Source organism: Homo sapiens, chromosome 6, assembly GCF_000001405.40.
Source record: "Homo sapiens chromosome 6, GRCh38.p14 Primary Assembly".
Classification (NCBI taxonomy): Eukaryota; Metazoa; Chordata; class Mammalia; order Primates; family Hominidae; genus Homo; species Homo sapiens.
This window is the reverse complement of record NC_000006.12, coordinates 159941300-159960375: the sequence shown is the minus strand read 5'-3', so window position 1 is coordinate 159960375 and position 19076 is coordinate 159941300. Positions and strand designations below refer to the sequence as shown.

The following is a 19076-nucleotide window of genomic DNA, read 5'->3' as shown; positions in this document are numbered from 1 at the left end:
GAGGAATCTGAGAGGAATTCCCAAAGCAAATGATTTAAGCTGAGTCTTGTAAGGGGGAGTGTTTGGCAAAGGTCGGGGGCGGGGTAGGGAACTTAGTTTTAAAAAAAACAGCATGAAAATGAGAGGAAGCTTGCCTTGGAATGGGGCCTGTGACAGATTCTGGGAAATGTGTCTGGTTCTTTGTGGCTAAAATACAAGTAAAAGTGAAACAGTTAGGGAGATGGAGCTAGTGAGGGAAGCACAGGGCAGGTTTTAAGGAACTTTGTGCTTTGCTAAAGATAAATGAAACTTGAGAGGCTTTTTAGCTGAGTAATCACATGATCCAGTTTTCATTTTAGGCAGATCACACTGACCACCATGTGCCGGACAGATGTGGGGAGTAGTGAGGGGATTACTAGAGGTAGGGATTCAAGATATGTGGGCTGATAGACTGTGCCATAACCCAGGTGGTATGGGTTCAATTGTGACCACTCCCCCCAAGATGTTGAGGTCTTAATCTCTAGTAACCCAGAATGTGACCTTATTTGGAAATGGGGTTGTTACACATGTAATAGTTCAGATGAGGTGATTCTAGAGAGGGTCCTTAATCCCACATAACAGGTGTCCCTATAAAAAGAGCATCACGTAATGAGGCGGGCACGTGCACAGGGAGAGTGCCATGTGAAGACTGGAGTTGGGCTTGCACAAGCCAAGGAACTCCTGGGATCCAGGAGAGAGGCCTGGAGCAAATTCTTCCCCTTCAGAGGAAGCATGGCCCTACTCAGACCTTGATTTTGGACTTCCGCCTCTAGACCTGTGAGACAATAAATGTCAGTTGTTCAAAGCCACCCAGTTCGTGGCACATTGTTGCAGCAGCCGTGGGAAATGGGTGCAGCTGGGGAGAAATGATGAATGCCCAGTGAAGGAGAGGTAGCAGCAATGGGACAGAGAACAGCAAGAGGAACTTGCCAGGACCCCAGCATTGATGATGGTAGAGGTGGGGAGAAAGAGGAATTAGGATGACTCTCAGGTTTCTGGCACCATGACTATTTGGTGATGCCATCCTCTGAAAAAGAGGAAATGGCCCCAGAGTGCAAGCTCTATTACTGTGTTTTGCTCAATGCTGGATCCTAGTACCTAAAACAAATATTTATTGAATGAATGAAAAATGACTAAAAGAAGGAAAAGAGGAAGAATATCTTTTTCATATCCATAATACACACATAGATCTTTTCTTTCCCCTTTCCTTACCAAATTTTAAAGTTCCATGTAATTTTTTTCTGTATAGCCTTATTTGCAATGTTCTCTATTGTCCAGCTTTTATCCCTCATATTTATTACTTCCTCCCTCTAAGGTGCATATTTTTAGTAAAAAAATAGAACCCTTGATCCCTTAAAGAAAATGTGCTTATAGATACCACCACAGTGCCAAGCACCTAGTAAGTGCTCAATAAAAGCTACCTATTGTTACTGTTATCAGAAGAATTGAACATGTGCTATTCTGAAATATCTGGGACTCTTTTTTTTCCCCTTCTTTTCCCTTCATTTGACATCTTTTTAGCCTCCTTTTTTGTCCTTCATTTCATCCCTAACTTCCTTCTGACCTGCCTGCCTCTTTCTTCCACCATCACTTTTGACCAAAAATGAAAGAAAAAGAGTATCATGTGACGAGGCAAGCATGTCAGTATTAGTTACCTATGGCAGCATAACAAATTACCCCCAAAACATGACGACTAAAAATAACAATAAGCACTTATTATCTCTCACACCATCTTTGGTGAGCCAAGGTTGCCATCATCTGAAGGCTTGACTAGGGCTGAAGGGACTGCTTCCCATGAACTCAGTCACATGGCTGGCAAGTTACTGAATCTGCTGGTGGGGGGCCTTGGTGCCTCTCCAAGGGGGCTCTCCACAGGGCTGCCTGAGCACCCTCACAGCACGGCGACTGAATTTCCCCAGAGCAAGCAAGTCAGGAAACCAAGGTAGACTCTGTGATGCCTTTTAAGACATTGCACGCCATCATGCCAGCCATATTCTATTGGTCATAGACCAACTCTTAGATGATGTAGGAGGAAACTCTATGGGGGTATGAATTCTAGAAGGCTAGAGGGACTTGGGCCACCTTGGAGACAAACTACTGCAGAAAGATGAGGGGTAGGTGAGGGGCTGAAGAAGTACACTTGGGGAGCAGGGATTGACTGCATAATAAAGGAAAAACAGATATTACAGGTGTGTCCTTTTTTGTGAATACTATGTTCATTTCATGTTCTTCATTTTAAAAACTTTCTGTGAATTAAACTCATCAAAGTAAACATGAATCAACATTTCAATCTATGTGAAGTTATCTGTTGAAAATCTGTAATTTCAGCAGGGCATGGTGGCTTATGCCTATAATCCCAGCACTTTGGGAGGCCGAGGTGGGCAGATCACCTGAGGTCAGGAGTTCAAGACCAGCCTGGACAACATAGCGAAACCCCTACTAAAAAGACAAAAATTAGCCGGGCATGGTGGTGTGTGCCTGTAATCCCACCTACTGGGAGGCTGAGGCAGGAGAATCGCTTGAACCCGGGAGGCAGAGGTTGCATTGAGCCAAGATTGCACCACTGCACTCCAGCCTGGATGACAGAGTAAGACTCTGCCTCAAAAAAAAAAAAGAAAGAAAGAAAGAAAATGTGTAATTTCATGCCAGTGCTTATTAAAATTTTTAAATCTTATTCCAGTTGATGTTTGTGTGTCTTTTAAAAATGGAGCGTCCAGTGTTTTATGATAAATTATAAAATATCCTTTTCATTTTCTCATGCCCCTCCTTATCCCTCTATCCACATTAGCATGTAGAATTTCAGTTCCTAAGAACTAAATTCGTCACTATGGACATATTAATTTCAGCAGGCCTACGTCAGTGTTGCTCTGTGTAAAAGGCAGCATTGGCACACATCACAAAACATGCAAGCCTATCCCAAGAAATTCTCCCAGTGGAGCTGGTAGCAGAGAGAGCTTTGGGCCTCTGGCTTAGACTGTAGCCTCTGCCTACCAGCTCTTTGACGCTGGACAGGTTGTTTAACCTCAACTCCACTTTCTTCATCTCGAACAACGGTCAACAAACTTTCTGTAGAGGGACAGATAATACACATGTTAGGCTTTGTGAACCATATGGTCTCTGTCACAACCAGTCAATCTGTGATCCTAGCACAAAAACAGGTATAAACAATACATAATCATATGAATGTGGCTGTGTTCCAATAAAATTTTATTTACAAAACAGGCAGCTGGCCAGATTTGGTGCAAAGGCTACAACTTGCCAACCTCTGATCTAGAAAATGACATATGTAGAGGACATTGTAGCTGACTGCTCAATATCTATTTACCCCAACTAATGAGTCTAAGCCAATCAAGATGTCTATCCCCTGGGCCATATTAGTATAGAAACAGGCCTGCCTAAGCCATTCTGTGCCCATGAGACATGAGCAGAGGATTACTGGTGGCTTCTGGGAAATCAGCGTCCTGGCTCTTAAGAAAATGCTGCTTCACAAAGCTGGCCTCTCTCTAAGCTGGGCCTGGACAAGGAAGCAGATAGGCCCAGCTAGGACTAGCTCTATACTACCAGCCTTAGGACAAATCTGATGGCGAGAATGGCAGAGAGGAATCTTCCTCTGGAATTCTTATGTAAGCTAAAAAATTTTCCAGCTTCTCTTTATTAACTCTGAATTGGGTCATCTGTTATTTTGGCTAAAGGCATCCTAAGTGAAAACCTTATTCCAAGGGTAGTTATGAGATCTAAATGGAAAAATTTGTGTGATCATGGCATGCAAGTTATAAAACTCTACCAGTACAACTCAGTAATAGTGAAATAATCGCCAACTACCTCCCAAGTCGTCCCTGGGTCTCAGTCAAATTAACTGTATGTATGCACATGCCTTTGATACACATATTCCATTGAAAGTGAAAACGCTTCATCCTCCTTAATAATCAAAAAAGATCACAAACTATCACTTCTCTTAGCTAGAGTTTCCCAACCCACATAAGATAAAACTCAGGGGAAAGAAAACAACAGTAATTATTAACCTGTGAAAGTGATGAAGTAGCAGTATCCTAATGACCCCTGCAGGGGTAGGTGAAGGGCCATACAGGGCAGTTTCTCTTCCTTTCTTTCTTTCCTTCCTTCCTTCCCTCCATCCCTCCTTCCCTCCCTCCCTCACTCACTCCCTTCTTTCCTTCCTTCCTTCCTTCCCTCTTTCCTTCCTTCCCTTTTTCCTTCCTTCCTTCTCTCTTTTCTTCCTTCCCTTTTTCCTTCCTTCCTCCTCTCTTTTCTTCCTTCTTTCCTTCCTTCCTTCTTTCCTTCCTTTCTCCTTTTCTTCTCTTTATTTTCCATCCTTCTTTCCTTCCTTTCTCCCTTCCTAACTTTCTCCTTTTCTTTTCTTTCTCTTTCTTCCTTCCTTCCTTTTTTTCTTTTTTCCTCCCTTCCTTCCTCCTTTCTTCCTTGCTTCCATTCTCCCTTCCTTCCTACCTTTTTATGTTTCTTTTCTGGAAAATAGCAATTGGTAAAGTTCGGTTCGAGGAATGTGGGCCTGGAATCAAAAATAGGTCTTCTGTGACTTTCCAACTTCTGCTTCTGAGTAAATCATTGCATACTGGGTATTACTAGTCCTCATAAGTAATATTCCGCAGTATCAAGAAAGGTATAAATAAGGATTTGTGATTACTTATGAAAATCGAAAAGTGTCTAAAACCTTGTAAAGTTACAGCACTCATAGTCTTTTTCTCTTTCTCTTATTTTCTCTTCTTGGGGAGGTTTAGTAGGATCAGTAGTATTTGTTTTTCTATTTCTTTTTTATCTTTCCATGATGACCCAGTTCTGTGGTGATTTAAAATTTGAAACAAATAAATCAGTTAATCCAATATTATATTTCATAACTTGTGTTGCTTGCAACTATGTTGTATGTACAGCCTACCAGAGATGGATGATGAATTGCAGCTCTAACTTGAAAGTCCCCACTTTGGACTGTGTCTTGGATTGAGAGATTGACAATCAACTCTCCCCACAACGCTGTAAGGTATTATTCCCTTAATTTCACACATAAACAAATTGAGGTTCCAAGCAGCTAAGCAACTTGCCTAAGGTTATAGAACAAGGAAGTAGAGGGGCCTGGACTGAGATCCAGGTCCGCAAGACATCAAAGGCCTTTACAGAGAGGACCACTCAGTGTGGAAACAATGGGAAGTGTGTATCTGTCAGGAGTTTGTGCTTATCCAGTGCTAATGGCCGCGGCATTGAGTTCAAGGGTGGGACATGCCACTCTTGGGGAGGTATGCAGGGCCCTGGGGAGGTACACATTGGACCATGAGTGAGCAAAGAGACAGCAAGCCGTCTGCCAGGGAGAGGGGTGAACTCAAGCTAGGATCAGCAACCTGGAAATGTCACAGCTGCTTTTGCACCCGGGGAAGTCATAATGGGCTCCAGTTCACACGTTTGATTAATGACAGAACTGGGACCCAGGGGAATCCTAGTTTCTGATGCCAATTCCATTCTTTCCCATAAACCAACTATCTTTCCTTCAAGCCCAGCACAAAACTGTCCTTCTCCAAGACACCTGGCTTGCCCCACTTAGGCCCTAGGGACTGCTATTCCAAATGCCAGGGATACACCTTAGCTCTGACTCTCATTTGGCACTTACTGTATACCAGCTTGCATCACTAGGCAGTTTTCCATTTTTTGCATTTATTTCAGTGTGCTCAAAGGCAGGGGCTACATTTTATATTCTTTTTGGTCCCTACATCATATTATTTTGTGTGTCTTCCCCAGGACCTAGTACAAGGCCAAGCATGTAACAACATTCATGTGCTAGATGTTTGAGTTTTTAAAATATATTTTTAAAAGTTACTATTATTATTTTTTAGAGAGAGTCTCAGTCTGTCACCCAGGCTGGAAGGCTGTGGTGCAATCATAGCTCACTGCAGCCTCAAACTCCTTGGCTCAAGGTATCCTCTCACCTCAGCCTCCCAAGTAGCTGAAATTACAGTTGTGTGCCACCACGCCCAGCTAATTTTTTTTTTCTTTCAGAGATGGCATTTCACTATGTTGCCCAGCCTGGAGTGCTGGATGCTGACTGACATAGGAAAGTGTGCTCTGGGGACCCTCAGGGGCCATGGGACCCTTTCAAAGCATCTGTGAGGTCAAAGCTATTTTTATAATACTGCAAGACACCTTTCGCTTTCTTCACTGTCATTTGCACGTATGTGAGCAGTGTTGTTTCCCAGAGGCAATCTGATGTGTAATGATGTCACCTCTCCGCTAATGGCACACAGGCTTGAGTATTCCTGTGTGTTTATATTTTCTCCATTATAATCTTGACTATGGTAAATATCAACAGATACAACTCACATTTTAAAAAATCTCTTTGATTTTAAGAGTGCAAAGTGGTGCTGAAACCAAAAGGTTTGGGAACCTCGGACCTGGATGCTTCTGTGGCTACCTGCACTTAGCATCACTTGACATCATCTCACCATATCCATAAGTCACTCCACCACCCTCGTTATCTTTGTGAGAAAACCATTTGAGCAGCAAGAGGGTGCCCTTTGATTTTATGATACATTTTTCTGACAGGTCTGTTTAAGTCGGTCCTGCCAACTGTCCTAAAAAATAACTGTTGCCAAACAAGCAGGAACAACGTCTTCCCACCATGCCAGGCCTATAGACACTCTCATGGAAGTATCAATCTCATTAGGTTAAAAAAAAGTCTTTGGTTACAGGCTGCTACTCCAGAAAATGGTCCCTGAAAGGCAGCTGTTTCTAACTGCCCCTGGGCTCTGCGTTTGATTTTGCACCTTAAAAAAAAAAAAGCTGTGCTTTGCTGTTAAGCAATTCAGTTCTTGAGTTTGTGAAATAGCTCCAGTGTGATTACTGTGCAGCTCTTACAAGGATTTCCTGTTTCCCAAGAGTGTACTATAGGAATTGTGGTCACGGAAGTTGCAAAGGCTGGGGGCAGTGAAGGGGGACTCATTATATATGGATTATTGCTGTACATTTTCTGTCCCACAGACTCCATGCAGATGGTGTGATTGTTCACACGACGGGGGCAGATTTGCCATCAAAGGGACAGGAAATCTTGGCGGGAGGCACATGGCACCGGGAGTGTGTCCCCCCACTGACCTTGGCGTCCCTCCAGCAAATCTCGCCTTTTTGGTGAATGAGGAAGGCAGCTTGTGTGGCCTCTGCCATGGCGAATCAGGCTCAGGGGTTCCCATCACTGGAACTTGCCAGCTTTAGGCTAGGAGAGAAATCAGACCCATTTTACAAATGAATAGCAAATGCACACTCCCAGGTGTCATTAACTGTTTAATCATTTGTAAGTGGAACCCCTTCTGGGGGTCTCCCCGTGGGGATGACTGTTCAGGAGACAAGGTGGATCCTGGGTGTGTCGATAGAAGACAGCTGCTTTCTTTGCCTTGCTGTTGCCATTCATCAAGATTTCTGTGGCCTGGCTAGTCCTTGGCAGAACAAAAACAAAAGCCGATGACCCTGAAAGGTCGAAAAAGGTGTACAGACTGAAACAGGATTTATAAATCCCACAAATATGCAGAACTAGTCTCCGAGGTCCTTGAAATGATGAATAAGGTCCTTAACTTAGAGCACACACAGGACACCAGAGTCTCCGCATCCAAAACAATTCATTATAGTTCTGATCTTTCCAGACTCCAAAGCCGCCCCCAGGCCAGGTCCCCATCAGCTCCAGCCTCCTGATGACCTTCTGCCTTTCTCTATGCTGCACCTACACTGCAGCCTCCGGGCACATTTTATAGTGTTTGGATGCTTTAGAATCAGGTTTTCAAAGCTTTTGTCAGTGAATTTCCCCGCTCAGCTCTTCAATCCCACGCTGCCCCAAAGTCCTTCACTTGTAACCCGAGGGCCCCTGAGTGTTGGCAAATACTTGGTATTCGGCCCAGAAGCCACAAGCCTCAAGGCCAGGTAAGAAGATTCAGATGCAGATTCACAGAGCAGGTTTGCTGCTCCTAGCACTGGTACAGGAGGAGGATGGGAGGAAGAGGTCTGTTCTAGAGGAAAGCAAAAGATTGAGAGAGCGCAGAGCCAGGGTCAGGCAGCCCCGTGTTTGAAAGGAGTGAAGGAACCGGCTGGCAGAGACCCACTTCTAGCTGCTGTTGGGGAGGATGCCTGGCCTGTTGTCTGACAATCCACTGGTTTTAGTTGACTCAGCCTGTGCCTCAAGACTTTCCAATCCATCACCCGAGGGCCCCAAATGCTCCAAAATCCCCCTAGAACAGAAGATGAAGGTGCTTGTGGAAGTAAACTTCCTGGGGAAGAAGGTTGGGCAGGAGGAGGGGAAACGACAGAAGCAGTGTTTAACTCCCAGCAGGAAAGTGCAGAGAGTTACACATCCCCCTGGGGAATGGGGAAACTCCACCTTCAGAGTGGGAAATGTGTATAAAGATCAGAGCCATTTTCCACCCGAAAGGCAGCGTGCATCCTGTAAGTGTGATGAGGGATCCTGAGGGACATTCGGAGTGTGGATACAGGAAGGTCCCGGGGAAGGAGTCCAGCCCCTTACCTTCCAGGGCTGAGTGAGGAGCATAAACACCAGACAGAAACTTCAGGAAAACTCAAGAGCGCTTAGCCATTGAAGCTGCAAAACCGAAAGAGAATTCCCAGGCCCACAGGGCACCTGAGTGGTTGGGTAGCAGCAGTCCTGAGGTACATGCTCTGGTAGATGGGCTTGAGAGAAGCTTCGCAGGGTGCGGGGATCAGGGCGGCAAGGACATGGCTACAGTAGCTTGGGGGCCAGTGGTCCCGAAGGGGCTCTCCCGACTGGGATGAAGAGGACTAACAAAGTTGCCCCAATAATAATGTATGTCTTGCAGGGCAGTGCACGTCTTCAGAGGTATCAGCCTAAAATAATCAAAAAGGTCAGAATCTGGTTTTAAAAGTTTATTCAAGCACAATGGTTGAGAATGGACACCCAGGAGCATAGCTTCAAGTTGCCCTGAATACGAACACACAAAGGTGGTTCTCTCACAGTACAAAGTGATCCCTGGTACCCTAGAAGCCAAAGAGATCAGGTCATGCAATGCAAAAGAAAGCCGAGCTTTAGGCCTGAGAGGAAGCTACCTGTCCACGACTCCTCAGACTCCACGGGAAGACAGAAGATCCCAGAAAGGGGGTGGATGGCACTTTTTTCTGTGTTTTTTTAGGGGCCTGAGTCACTAGAATTCCTCTCTAGATTCCTTCATATGCTACTAAAGACAGCAAGAAGAAGCAGGGGCTTGAAAATCAGCTTTTAATTCAGCCAACTTTGACCGTGGAGTTTTTTGTTTGTTTTGTTTTGTTTGACAGGGTCTCACTCTGTCACCCAGGCTGGAGTGCAGTGACACAATCAGCTCACTGCAACTTCAATCTCCCAGTCTCAAGTGATCCTTCCCGCTCAGCCTCCTGAGTAGGTGGGACCACTAGCACGCACCACCACGCGAGGCTAATTTTTAAATTTTTTTTTGAGACAGATCTCACTGTGTTACCCAGGCTGGTCTCAAACTCCTGGGTTCAAGCAATCCTCTCACCTCAGCCTCCCAGAGTGCTGGGACAACAGGTGTAAGCCACTGCACCTGGCCACAGCTCCTTTTTAAAAACTCTTTTAAAAATCTCTTATTATCAGATTATTGCTGAGACAAACAGATGAGATTCCTGGCTTTTGAGCTTTTTTTTTTTTTTCACCCAAGTACCCTCCCAAGTGAATTACCAAAACCAATAAGCCTTAACCAAGGTTGTAATTTAATCAAGAACTCATGAGGTGTCTCCGAAGAGGGGCAAAGCAGTCCTCACAAGATTCAGAACCACCCCAAAGACAGCTCAATGAAAGGATAGTTTCACTAACCACAAATGGCGTACAACTCACATTCTGTCCGGCTTTGTGGGCAGCTGAGCACCTACACATGAAGGCCTGAAGGCCCGAAGGCCCCCTGTGTCTCACCAATGGAAAGACGAGAAACTAAAAGCTGTCCATGAAAGGGAACAGGGTCAATAACAAACAGGTATCCCCAAAGCCAAAAGTCACCAAAATACCAAACCAAAGGGATGGTTCTCTGACTAAGGCCATGGCAGTGAAGGTACAGGATTTCACCTTCCAGAATTCCAGGTGGAGCAGCTTTCACTGTGAATCCCACAGGGCATCTGAAGCAGGCACCTTGAGCTTACAAAGGATTTTAACTTTGTTTTTGGTCAAATTTTTGCTCTTTACTTTTGTGAAGAGAATTTCTAAAGCTGGCCATGATACCATTATGTGTCTTTTAGAAAATCTGATCTCGGCTGGGCACATTGGCTCACGCCTGTAATCCCAACACTTTGGGAGGCCAAGGCAGGTGGATCACCTGAGGTCAGGAGTTTGAGACCAGCCTGGCCAACATGGTGAAACCCCGTCTCTGCTAAAAATACAAAAATTAGCCAGGCATGGTGGCAGGTGGCTGTAATCCCAGCTACCTGGGGGGTTGAGGCAGGAGGATCGCTTGAACCTGGGAGGCGGGGGTTGCAGTGAGCCGAGATCATGCCATTGCAGTCCAGCAGCCTGGTGGCAGAGCAAGATTCAGTCTCAAAAGAAAAAAAAAATCTGATCTTCCCATAAGTACAAATAGGCAATTTGTTTAGAATGAGAGATCATATATACATATATATATATATATATATATATGTTATTATAATTCAAAGGATCCATCTCGTGACCACTGATGATTAGAATTTTTAATGATGTACTTATTCTAAGAGCAACTCGATCCCATATGTGTACCAAGAAGTACACCAAGATTGCTATACCCAAGACTAGTCATACAAATCCTTTCCTCTCATTAGCCAACATTTTGCAGAGGAAAAAGAGACAAACATGGTTTTACTGTCCGCTCAACCAGATTCCACAAAATGAAAGACAGGGAGGCTGGCTGGTAAGACGTTCTTACCCTTCTGCTGGCCTGTCAGGTCCTGGGTTCCCTTCACTGTGGCTTAGAGCAGAGCAGGTTAGGTACTCTGCTCATAGCGCTAAAGCTGCAGGGGCCATGGGAAAACTTTCCCCTCACCCTCTGAATGTTCGCTGAAAAAAATCAACTCACAAAAACAGATTAATGGGGGAAATGGCATGCAATTTATTAACAACCACACGGGATAACTGTCCCCCTTTGGGGAGAAAGAGATAGGTGTGTTGTATAATTTCTAAAAGTCTCTGCCTGTCAGGTGGATGGGAGCTGAGGGAACCAAAAGGAAAACATGTTCCCTAAAGAGAACCTAACTGAAAATCAATTTTGGCAGTCTTTTTTCAATTCAGAAATTGTTGTAGACAAATGTTTTCCTCTTGCAAATAAAAGACTTTATTAGAAGCTTTGTAAAATAGAGATGGAGTCTCACTATGTTGCCCAGGCTGGTCTTGAACTCCTGGGCTTAAGTGATCCTTCCACCTCAGCCTCCCAAAATCCTGGGATTACAGGTGTGAGCTATCACACCTGGCCTAGAAGCTTCTAAGTACATTGAAGATAGCTCTATACGTTATTTTGTTTTATTTCAAACAGCATTTTCTGATTGAGTGCACAGATAAACTACTTTAGGTATTTTAAAGATACCCCATTTTGGCCATTGTAACTTGGGGTCTTCATAAGTTATGTGAGACCATTTTTGTGACTATATGAATGAAGAGGTATTATTAGTATTGCACATGCATCCAGGCAGTATTTCTAAAGGCACATCTCTCCTTTAGTAGTATAATTGTCCATAATTTAGATTTTCCTTTGAAAGACCAAAAAGACCTAGTGGGAGGAATTTCAGTCACTCAAGAAGAAATTTTAGATCTGTCAATTGCACTAAGTCGCAGAATCCCACCAGTTTTACAGATTACAAATTTTTCACTTAAGCCACAAGGATATCACTTTCTCTTTTCAGAGAAAACTGTTTTCTCTTTGACCAAGAGAAAAGGTTGTAAACTTTAATGAGTAAGACACACAATACCTGAACCTCAGAGAAAAGTGAAAATCACAAACCCGCAGTCAGCAGAATTTCTAGAGATTAACAAGCGAAGCTCCCACCTTAAAGCTTTAAAACAGAACTTCAGTTCCAGCCCTGTCAGGTGTGAAGTCAGGTCAGTTGAGTAAAGTTTGAATCTCAAACCAAAAATCAGGGAGATTCAAAATCTGAAAGGAGACTCCACAGAGATTCCCGCTCACCTGGCGAGGCTGAGTGAGCATAGGCATGTTTGTGTTGGCACCAAGGCCCTAATTGTTGGCAAAAGAGGGGTATCTCTGGAGGCTTATTTCAGGTCCCTTTGTAGTCATCTCACCTGAACCCAGGCACCACCTGGGATGAAAGGAAGAAGGGGAGAGGCTGGAAAGAATCTTGGGTTAGCTGAGTGGTTTCTCAAAAGAAACTCTAGTAAACTGGAGACAATTGAAGCATGGCAAGACATAGATCTCCTCCATCAGAAGAAAAAAAAGTTGTTGGCTAAGTTGAATTCAGTTTTAGAGAAGTCACATTTCTGCACACCTGAGTTTGTGGATGGGGGAATTTATGGCTTTTGTGGGTTACTGTCGATCTCCTGCTAAAATTATTGTAATTGTTTCCTTTGCATTTGTAAATTAATCCAAACTCTGGCCTCAGGCCTTTAAGACTCTGGTTCCACCTCTCCATCTCTAACCAAGCTTTTGTCCTACTGGGTCTCCTTTTTGACAGGCACACTTGCCAAGCTCTTTCCTACCTTGGGGTTTATGTGTGTACAGTTTCTTCTAGAAAAAATGGTATTTCCCATACCAGCTCCTTCTCAGATTTGGTGAGGTCAGTTGCAATTGGGTTAAATAGTTATTCTGGGCACATCTCATTCTTTATCTCAACATTCTTTTTTTTTTTCTTAAGTTTATAGCATTTCACACTTTATAGTTACTTGTTTATTTATATGTTTGATTCACGAGATTATATGCAAATGCCTAGCGTAATACATGTATGAGGAATTCATTGAAATAGTTAATAAATCAATGAATGAGAAGATAATTTCCAATGAGTGATTATTTTCCACTTTTCCTAAGCACAGAGAGAGAAATGAGAGATAAATGCCAGGAGGAAATTTTTAGATTAGACATTTGTTACATGGCCTAACATCAAGATTGGGTCATACTGTAGGATAATCTATCGTGGCCTATTCATCACAGAGCTGAAAATCAAGTTCATATAGGAAGTTCTCTGTGACCTTTTCTCAGGTAAGAATCAAGTGATTCCATTCATCATTTGTTATTCGCCAGCCCCTTACCATTCCTTAGTTGTGGTAAACACCATGGAAAGTCAGGAGAAGCATTAAAGAATCAACAATTCAGCCACAGAGTTAAAAATAGCACCCCCTGGGAAATTGCAATTAGGGACTACAAAGCAGTGTGTTATCATTCCCAGTATTTTGGGAATGATGGCATCTTTCTCTGGTTTGTGCAGATAATTTTCCTCTTTCCTCTCTAATCTTCTCCATCCTTAATAGCTGTGTGGTGTGGCATTTTAAATGAATTAAAATTAATTTCATTTTGGGAATTTTTATACCTCTGAGATAGTGCACCTGGAATTATCCGAAAACCAGGACTGGAAGATCTAAAACAGTGTTGGGGAGTATGATGAATGGGAAAGGCTTATAACAAAAATTCCATATTATCCATGGCATAGCTTACTTAAGAGAATATGCTTTACTTACTAATGGAAAAGAAAACATTATACCTAGGCAGGATTTAAAAAAAAAATACTGTCCCTAATGTTTACATGCAGTGATGTTAATTCTAGAGGGGGCCCAGTGACTCCCGACCAGGCCCTGCTGAGACAGAAGAAATCACATTTTTCAGGCTTCTCTTCTCTTAGTCTTCTTAGTTAGTGAGAGAAGAGAATCTCCACTCACCACAGGCAACACTTTGGGGCATATTTCAATGGGTTCTGTTCTGAGTCCAATGGTTCCTAATGGTTCACCTCCCGCCAAACAGAACCCAGGCTCATTTTCTCGTAGCCTGAAGAGCACTGTGCATGGAACACACTTCCTAAAGTTTGGATGAATGAACTCCAGGAGGATTCTGTATTTGTGGGGTGAGAGGCCCTGGCTCCCAGAAAAGGAACGCTTTCACTGGGGCCACAGCTGCCATCATGTCTCTTGGTGCCAAGAGAGCAGCTGCAAAGGAAAGGATTCATCAGACCAGCAGCAGGGTCTGCCCTCACACGTCGGGGTCGTGGAAGAACATATTTGTACACTGGCAGTTCATGAGGGTGTCTCTTGGTATTTCTTTGCCCAATTCTAATAGCGATTAGACATGATGCAGCAGCCACAGCCTGAGAAGGGCATGATTACCAAGATTTCCAACCCCTAGAGATGAGGGTTTAGATCACCCTACCAGGGTCATGTAAGGTTACCAGACCAGCACAGGTGCTGGCTGAGTGGGAGGGAGATCTAGAATAGCTACTAAAGGAGAGAGATGATGAATAGTGATTGTGGCCTCACCTGCAGCAAAGGAGACTAATGTCTTGGACTGTTTTATGCTGCTATAACAGAATACCACAGACTGGGTAATTTATAAAGAAAAGAAATTCATTTCTTACAGTTCTCGAGGCTGGGAATGCTACATTAGGGCAATCCCAAATCAAGGTGTCAGCATCTGGTGAAGGCCTTCTTGCTGTATCACCTAATAGCAGAAGATGAAAGGGTGAATGAGCATGCAAGACAGAGAGCACACTGGGTGAGAGATTGAGCCCCTAAGGCCTCAGGCAGCCTCACCCACATGGCTTTGCTGGGCTCAGTCTACACTTCGGCTCTCTCAGGTTGGAGTCTCATGACTGCAGCTCTCCCAGGCTGGTGTCGCACACTGGTAGCTACAGTTCTGGAGTCTCAATGGTGATGCCATTCCCATCAGGCATTACCCTTGTGAGGACTCTCAGGGCTGGCCTTGTTCCAATGGCTTCACTAGGCATTGCCTTAGTAGGAAATCTCTGTGGTAGCTCTACCCCTGAAACAAGTTTCTGCCTGGGCCCCCATGTTGTCTGAACATTCTTTGAAACCTAAGTGAAGGTTGCTATGTTCCCATATCTCTTTCTTCTGTAAGCCTGCAGACTTAACACCATGTGAATGCCACCAAGGTTTACTGCTTGCACCTTGTGGAGTCCAAGCTGCACCTGAGCCTGCTTGAGCCACAGCTGGGACAGATGAGGGGTATTATATTGGAATGCAGAGAGCAGAGTCCTGAAGTGGCCCTGGCCAGTGAACCCATGGACAGTGCCCTGGCCTGTCCTCTGAAACCATTCTGCCCTCCTAGATGCCCTAGGCCTGTGATGGGAGGGACAACCTCAAAGATCTTTGAAATGCCTTTGAGGTATTTCTCCCATTGTATTGATGAATAGCACCTGGCTTCCTTCCTGTTCATACTAATCTCTTAAGCAAACAATTGCTTGACCATACCCTTGATTTGCTCTCCCAAACACACCTTTCTACTCTTCACATAGCCAGGCTGCAAATTTCTGAAATCTTTCCATTCTTCTTTTCTTTTCATTACAAAAGTCTGTCTTTAAGTCATTTCTGGCCTCTCACATCTCACTGGATGTGTTTAAAAGTAGCTACACAGCAGCCTGATTCTCTGTTGCTTAGAAGTTTCTTCTACCAAATATCTTAGCTCATTACTCTTACATTCTGTATTCCATAAAGTCCTAGGACAAGAACATAATCCTGCAAAGTTCTTTGCAACCATATAACAGGGATGGCCTTTACTCCAGTTCCCAATACCATCTGAGATATCAGAATGGCCTTTACTATCCTTGTTTATACCAACATTCTGATCACAATCACTTAAGTAATCTCTAAGATTTAGGCTGTCTGTAGTTCTGGGGTCTTCTTCTGCGCCCTCACCAGATTTGCCATTAATGGCATTGTAGGCTTTTTCTAGCCTTCTCCTCCCAATTCTTCCAGCCTCTACCCATTATCCAGTTCCAAAGCCACTTCCACTTTTCAGATATTTGTTACAGCAACAACCCCACTCCTGGTACCAATTTTCTTTTTGTTTTGTTTTCTGCTGGTATAATGGAATACCACAGACTAGGTAATTTATAAGGAGCAGAGATTTATTTCTCACAGTTCTGGAAGCTGGGAAGTCCAAGGTCAAGTGGCCCACATTTGGTGAGGGCCTTCTGTGTCACCCCATGGCAGAAAGTGGGAGGGTGAGTGAGTGTAAAGAAAAAGAGGAAGAGGGCTGAATGCCTGCAATAGCAAAACCACTTCTGCAATAACAGCATTGATCCATTTATGAGGGCAGAGCCCTCATGACCTAATAGCTCCTTAAAGGTCCCACCTCTTAATACTGTCATAACGGCAATTAAATTTTAACATGAGTTTGGAGAAGGACATTCAAACCATAGCAACCAATATTACTGTCATAAATTTACCCAGGAAAAGAGAGTAACTAAGATCCTGAAGTAGCTGTTTCTAGATGAGATTAAATCACTATATGAAGCAGTTGGGCAAAAGGTAGGCTGTAGTGGATGCTGTGGTATGTTGTTCATATTCACCCTTCACATTCAAAGACACTAATTTCTCCAGATTTAGGAAATGTTTTATGCTTCACAGCTATGTTCTTCTCTAGGTACAGTCCTCAGCTGAAAGCGGCTACCCCATCCAAAGTAACATCTTCTCCTCAGGGGCAGCCTGCATCCAATGATCAGTTTATGAAAAGATGCAGAGACTTAGTTCCCCTCTTCATTAGGGACATAAATGTGTATACTGGTACATATTTAACAAGTTGTTCCTGGTGGATGGGGGAAGCCCTGGTTTGTAATATTGGGCAATTTTCATGGTGTAAATATTCCCACTGTGCCAATGTCAAGATCAACCTGACATCACTGAATGAGGAGTTGGGAGGAGATCCACACAGCTGACTCAGGAATCCAGCTGGTGGGAACCAGGGGACCCAGTTCAGCGCACCACAGCCATCCCTCGAAGGGCCCTCCTCATTTCAGAGCTCCTCACGAGATCAGCTGAGGCCTCTGTTGAAACCACATCAGACTTCCACTTCTTTCTCCACCCAATCCAGCAATCCTCCCTCCTTACGGTTGTTGATTCTGGAACACTCCCCAATACACTTCCTGCTCATAAGTTTCTATCTCATAGTCTACTTCTCAAGGAACCCTGAGCTACAACACGCTTAGATGCCAGTGTCCTTGTGGGTTCGTCCTTGGCTCTGTTTTCTTCTCACTCTGTACTCTTGCCCTGGGTGTCCTCACACATTCCTGAAGTTTGACATCACATCTGAATCAGATGACACTGCTCCATTCGGGACTCCTTTTCTGAGTCCAGTCCTAAATCTCCAGATTTCTGGGGACAGACAAACAGATTTCACTGGTGCAAAAACCTCACCTTATACAAAACAAACTCACCATCTTCTTCACAAACCTGCCTTTTACCCCTGTACTCTCTCTAAAATGAATCCTCATCTTTCCAATAGCGTAAGACTTTAAAACAAAACAAAACCTCAAACCCAGAATGACCTTGAACAGTTCCCTCTCCCTAAGCTCCTGGCAATTCTCTACTTCTGTCTCTGAGTGTCTGTCCATTACCTTACATTGCCTGCATCTCCACCTTACCTGGGTCCAGGTGATCTCTCGTCTGCGCTATCACTATCATCATGGCCTGCGAGGGTCTTTCTGATTCTCTTTTCCCTATTTTCCTGCCCAAACTGGTCTACAACAGCAATCTTCAAAGTCAGGGGACCCGGACATCCAATAGGATGCAAGAAGAAAATACTTGGGCTACTATTTTTTTAAATCACTTTAATCTCTTTATTTTAATATACATCTTAATTTGTACATGCTAGATCCATAAATGTTTATATTCTTAAGTAAAATGCTTTGGTTTGGTTGCATGCTCACTTAGTTGGTTTGGTTGGTTGGTTTGTTAGAGGTGCTTGATCAAAAAGTTTGCGGATCACTGCTCTAGTAGCTAGTAGCCCAGTGACCTTCCTGCCACACAGATTTTCTTATGTCCCTCCTTTACTCAAAGATATTCAGTGACTCCCTGGACTCAAACACCACTTTCTTCATCACCCTTCCCAGTGTCCAGTGCTGTTAACTTCTTTCCATTTATCCAGAGCTCCTCATATAACACACATTTATTTCTTTTTGCCTTGTATTACAGGTATGTGTGAAAACTGTCCTTATTCTCTAGCTCATTGAAGCTCATTGAAGACGGAGACTATAATTACACATTTTTCACCAGAGCCTAGGATTGCTCCATGCATATAGGAAGATAAATATTTGCTAAATGAATATTTGAAGTTTCATACACCTCAAAGATTCATCTTAATGATAGATTTCCTATTTAAATAATCCATTCTTCATAGAAAGCCTAATGGTAGTTAGTAAGACATCATGCAGGGCTAAGCACTTGTCCTCATCAGGGTAAGTCCACATCTCTAACAGCCACAGACCACAATCACCACAGAATCCAGAGAATGATACTGCCACAAGATGGCAGAATGACATCGTGCTTCAATATAACGTTTTCAGTTTGAATTATCTTCCAAAACATTGGTAGCCTACCCACTAGGCTGCCCTTAGAGCACATTGCACGTCCCCAGGAGAAAATGGAATAGAAGTTGACTTGACTTTCAGGCCATCCTCACCATGTCTCCCGGTCTTTGCAAAGGGTGTTACACGACAGGTGATGCCCATCTCCCGAGCACCTGCCACCAGAGACTCTAACACAGTAGGTCCTGTCTCCTGCAGGAGGAGTGGACTGCGGCCATCCGAGTGTCAGGACTTGTGGGTGGTCAGGCTGCCAGGGCATCTTCTGCTGGCAGCTTCTTAGCACTAGGTGCCTCCTCTTAGCCCACAGAGAACCAGATGGAAGTTAACATTTGGACCTGTTAGTCAGGGCTTCCCCCTCCATTTCCCTGTGTCCTTGAGCCACCCACATGCAGTCACCCAGGGCACCCCCACCTGTGGCTCATTCAAAGGATGGTAGAACGCAGACAGAAAAGGGGTAGTAATTGGCCTTGCATTTTGAAAGACTGGTGGAGATATTTTTGAATGTATTTTTTTCGGAGAATGCACGACAAGGAGTAGCAAGGCTT

General features: G+C 44.0%; 1 annotated feature.

Moving 5' to 3' along the window:
• Nucleotides 18489-18608: an enhancer, noted in NCBI's record as "active region_25396". NCBI's record gives its function as "activates an Ori minimal core promoter by ATAC-STARR-seq in GM12878 lymphoblastoid cells {active_cell/tissue: GM12878}" and the evidence as "EXISTENCE:reporter gene assay evidence [ECO:0000049][PMID:35858748]".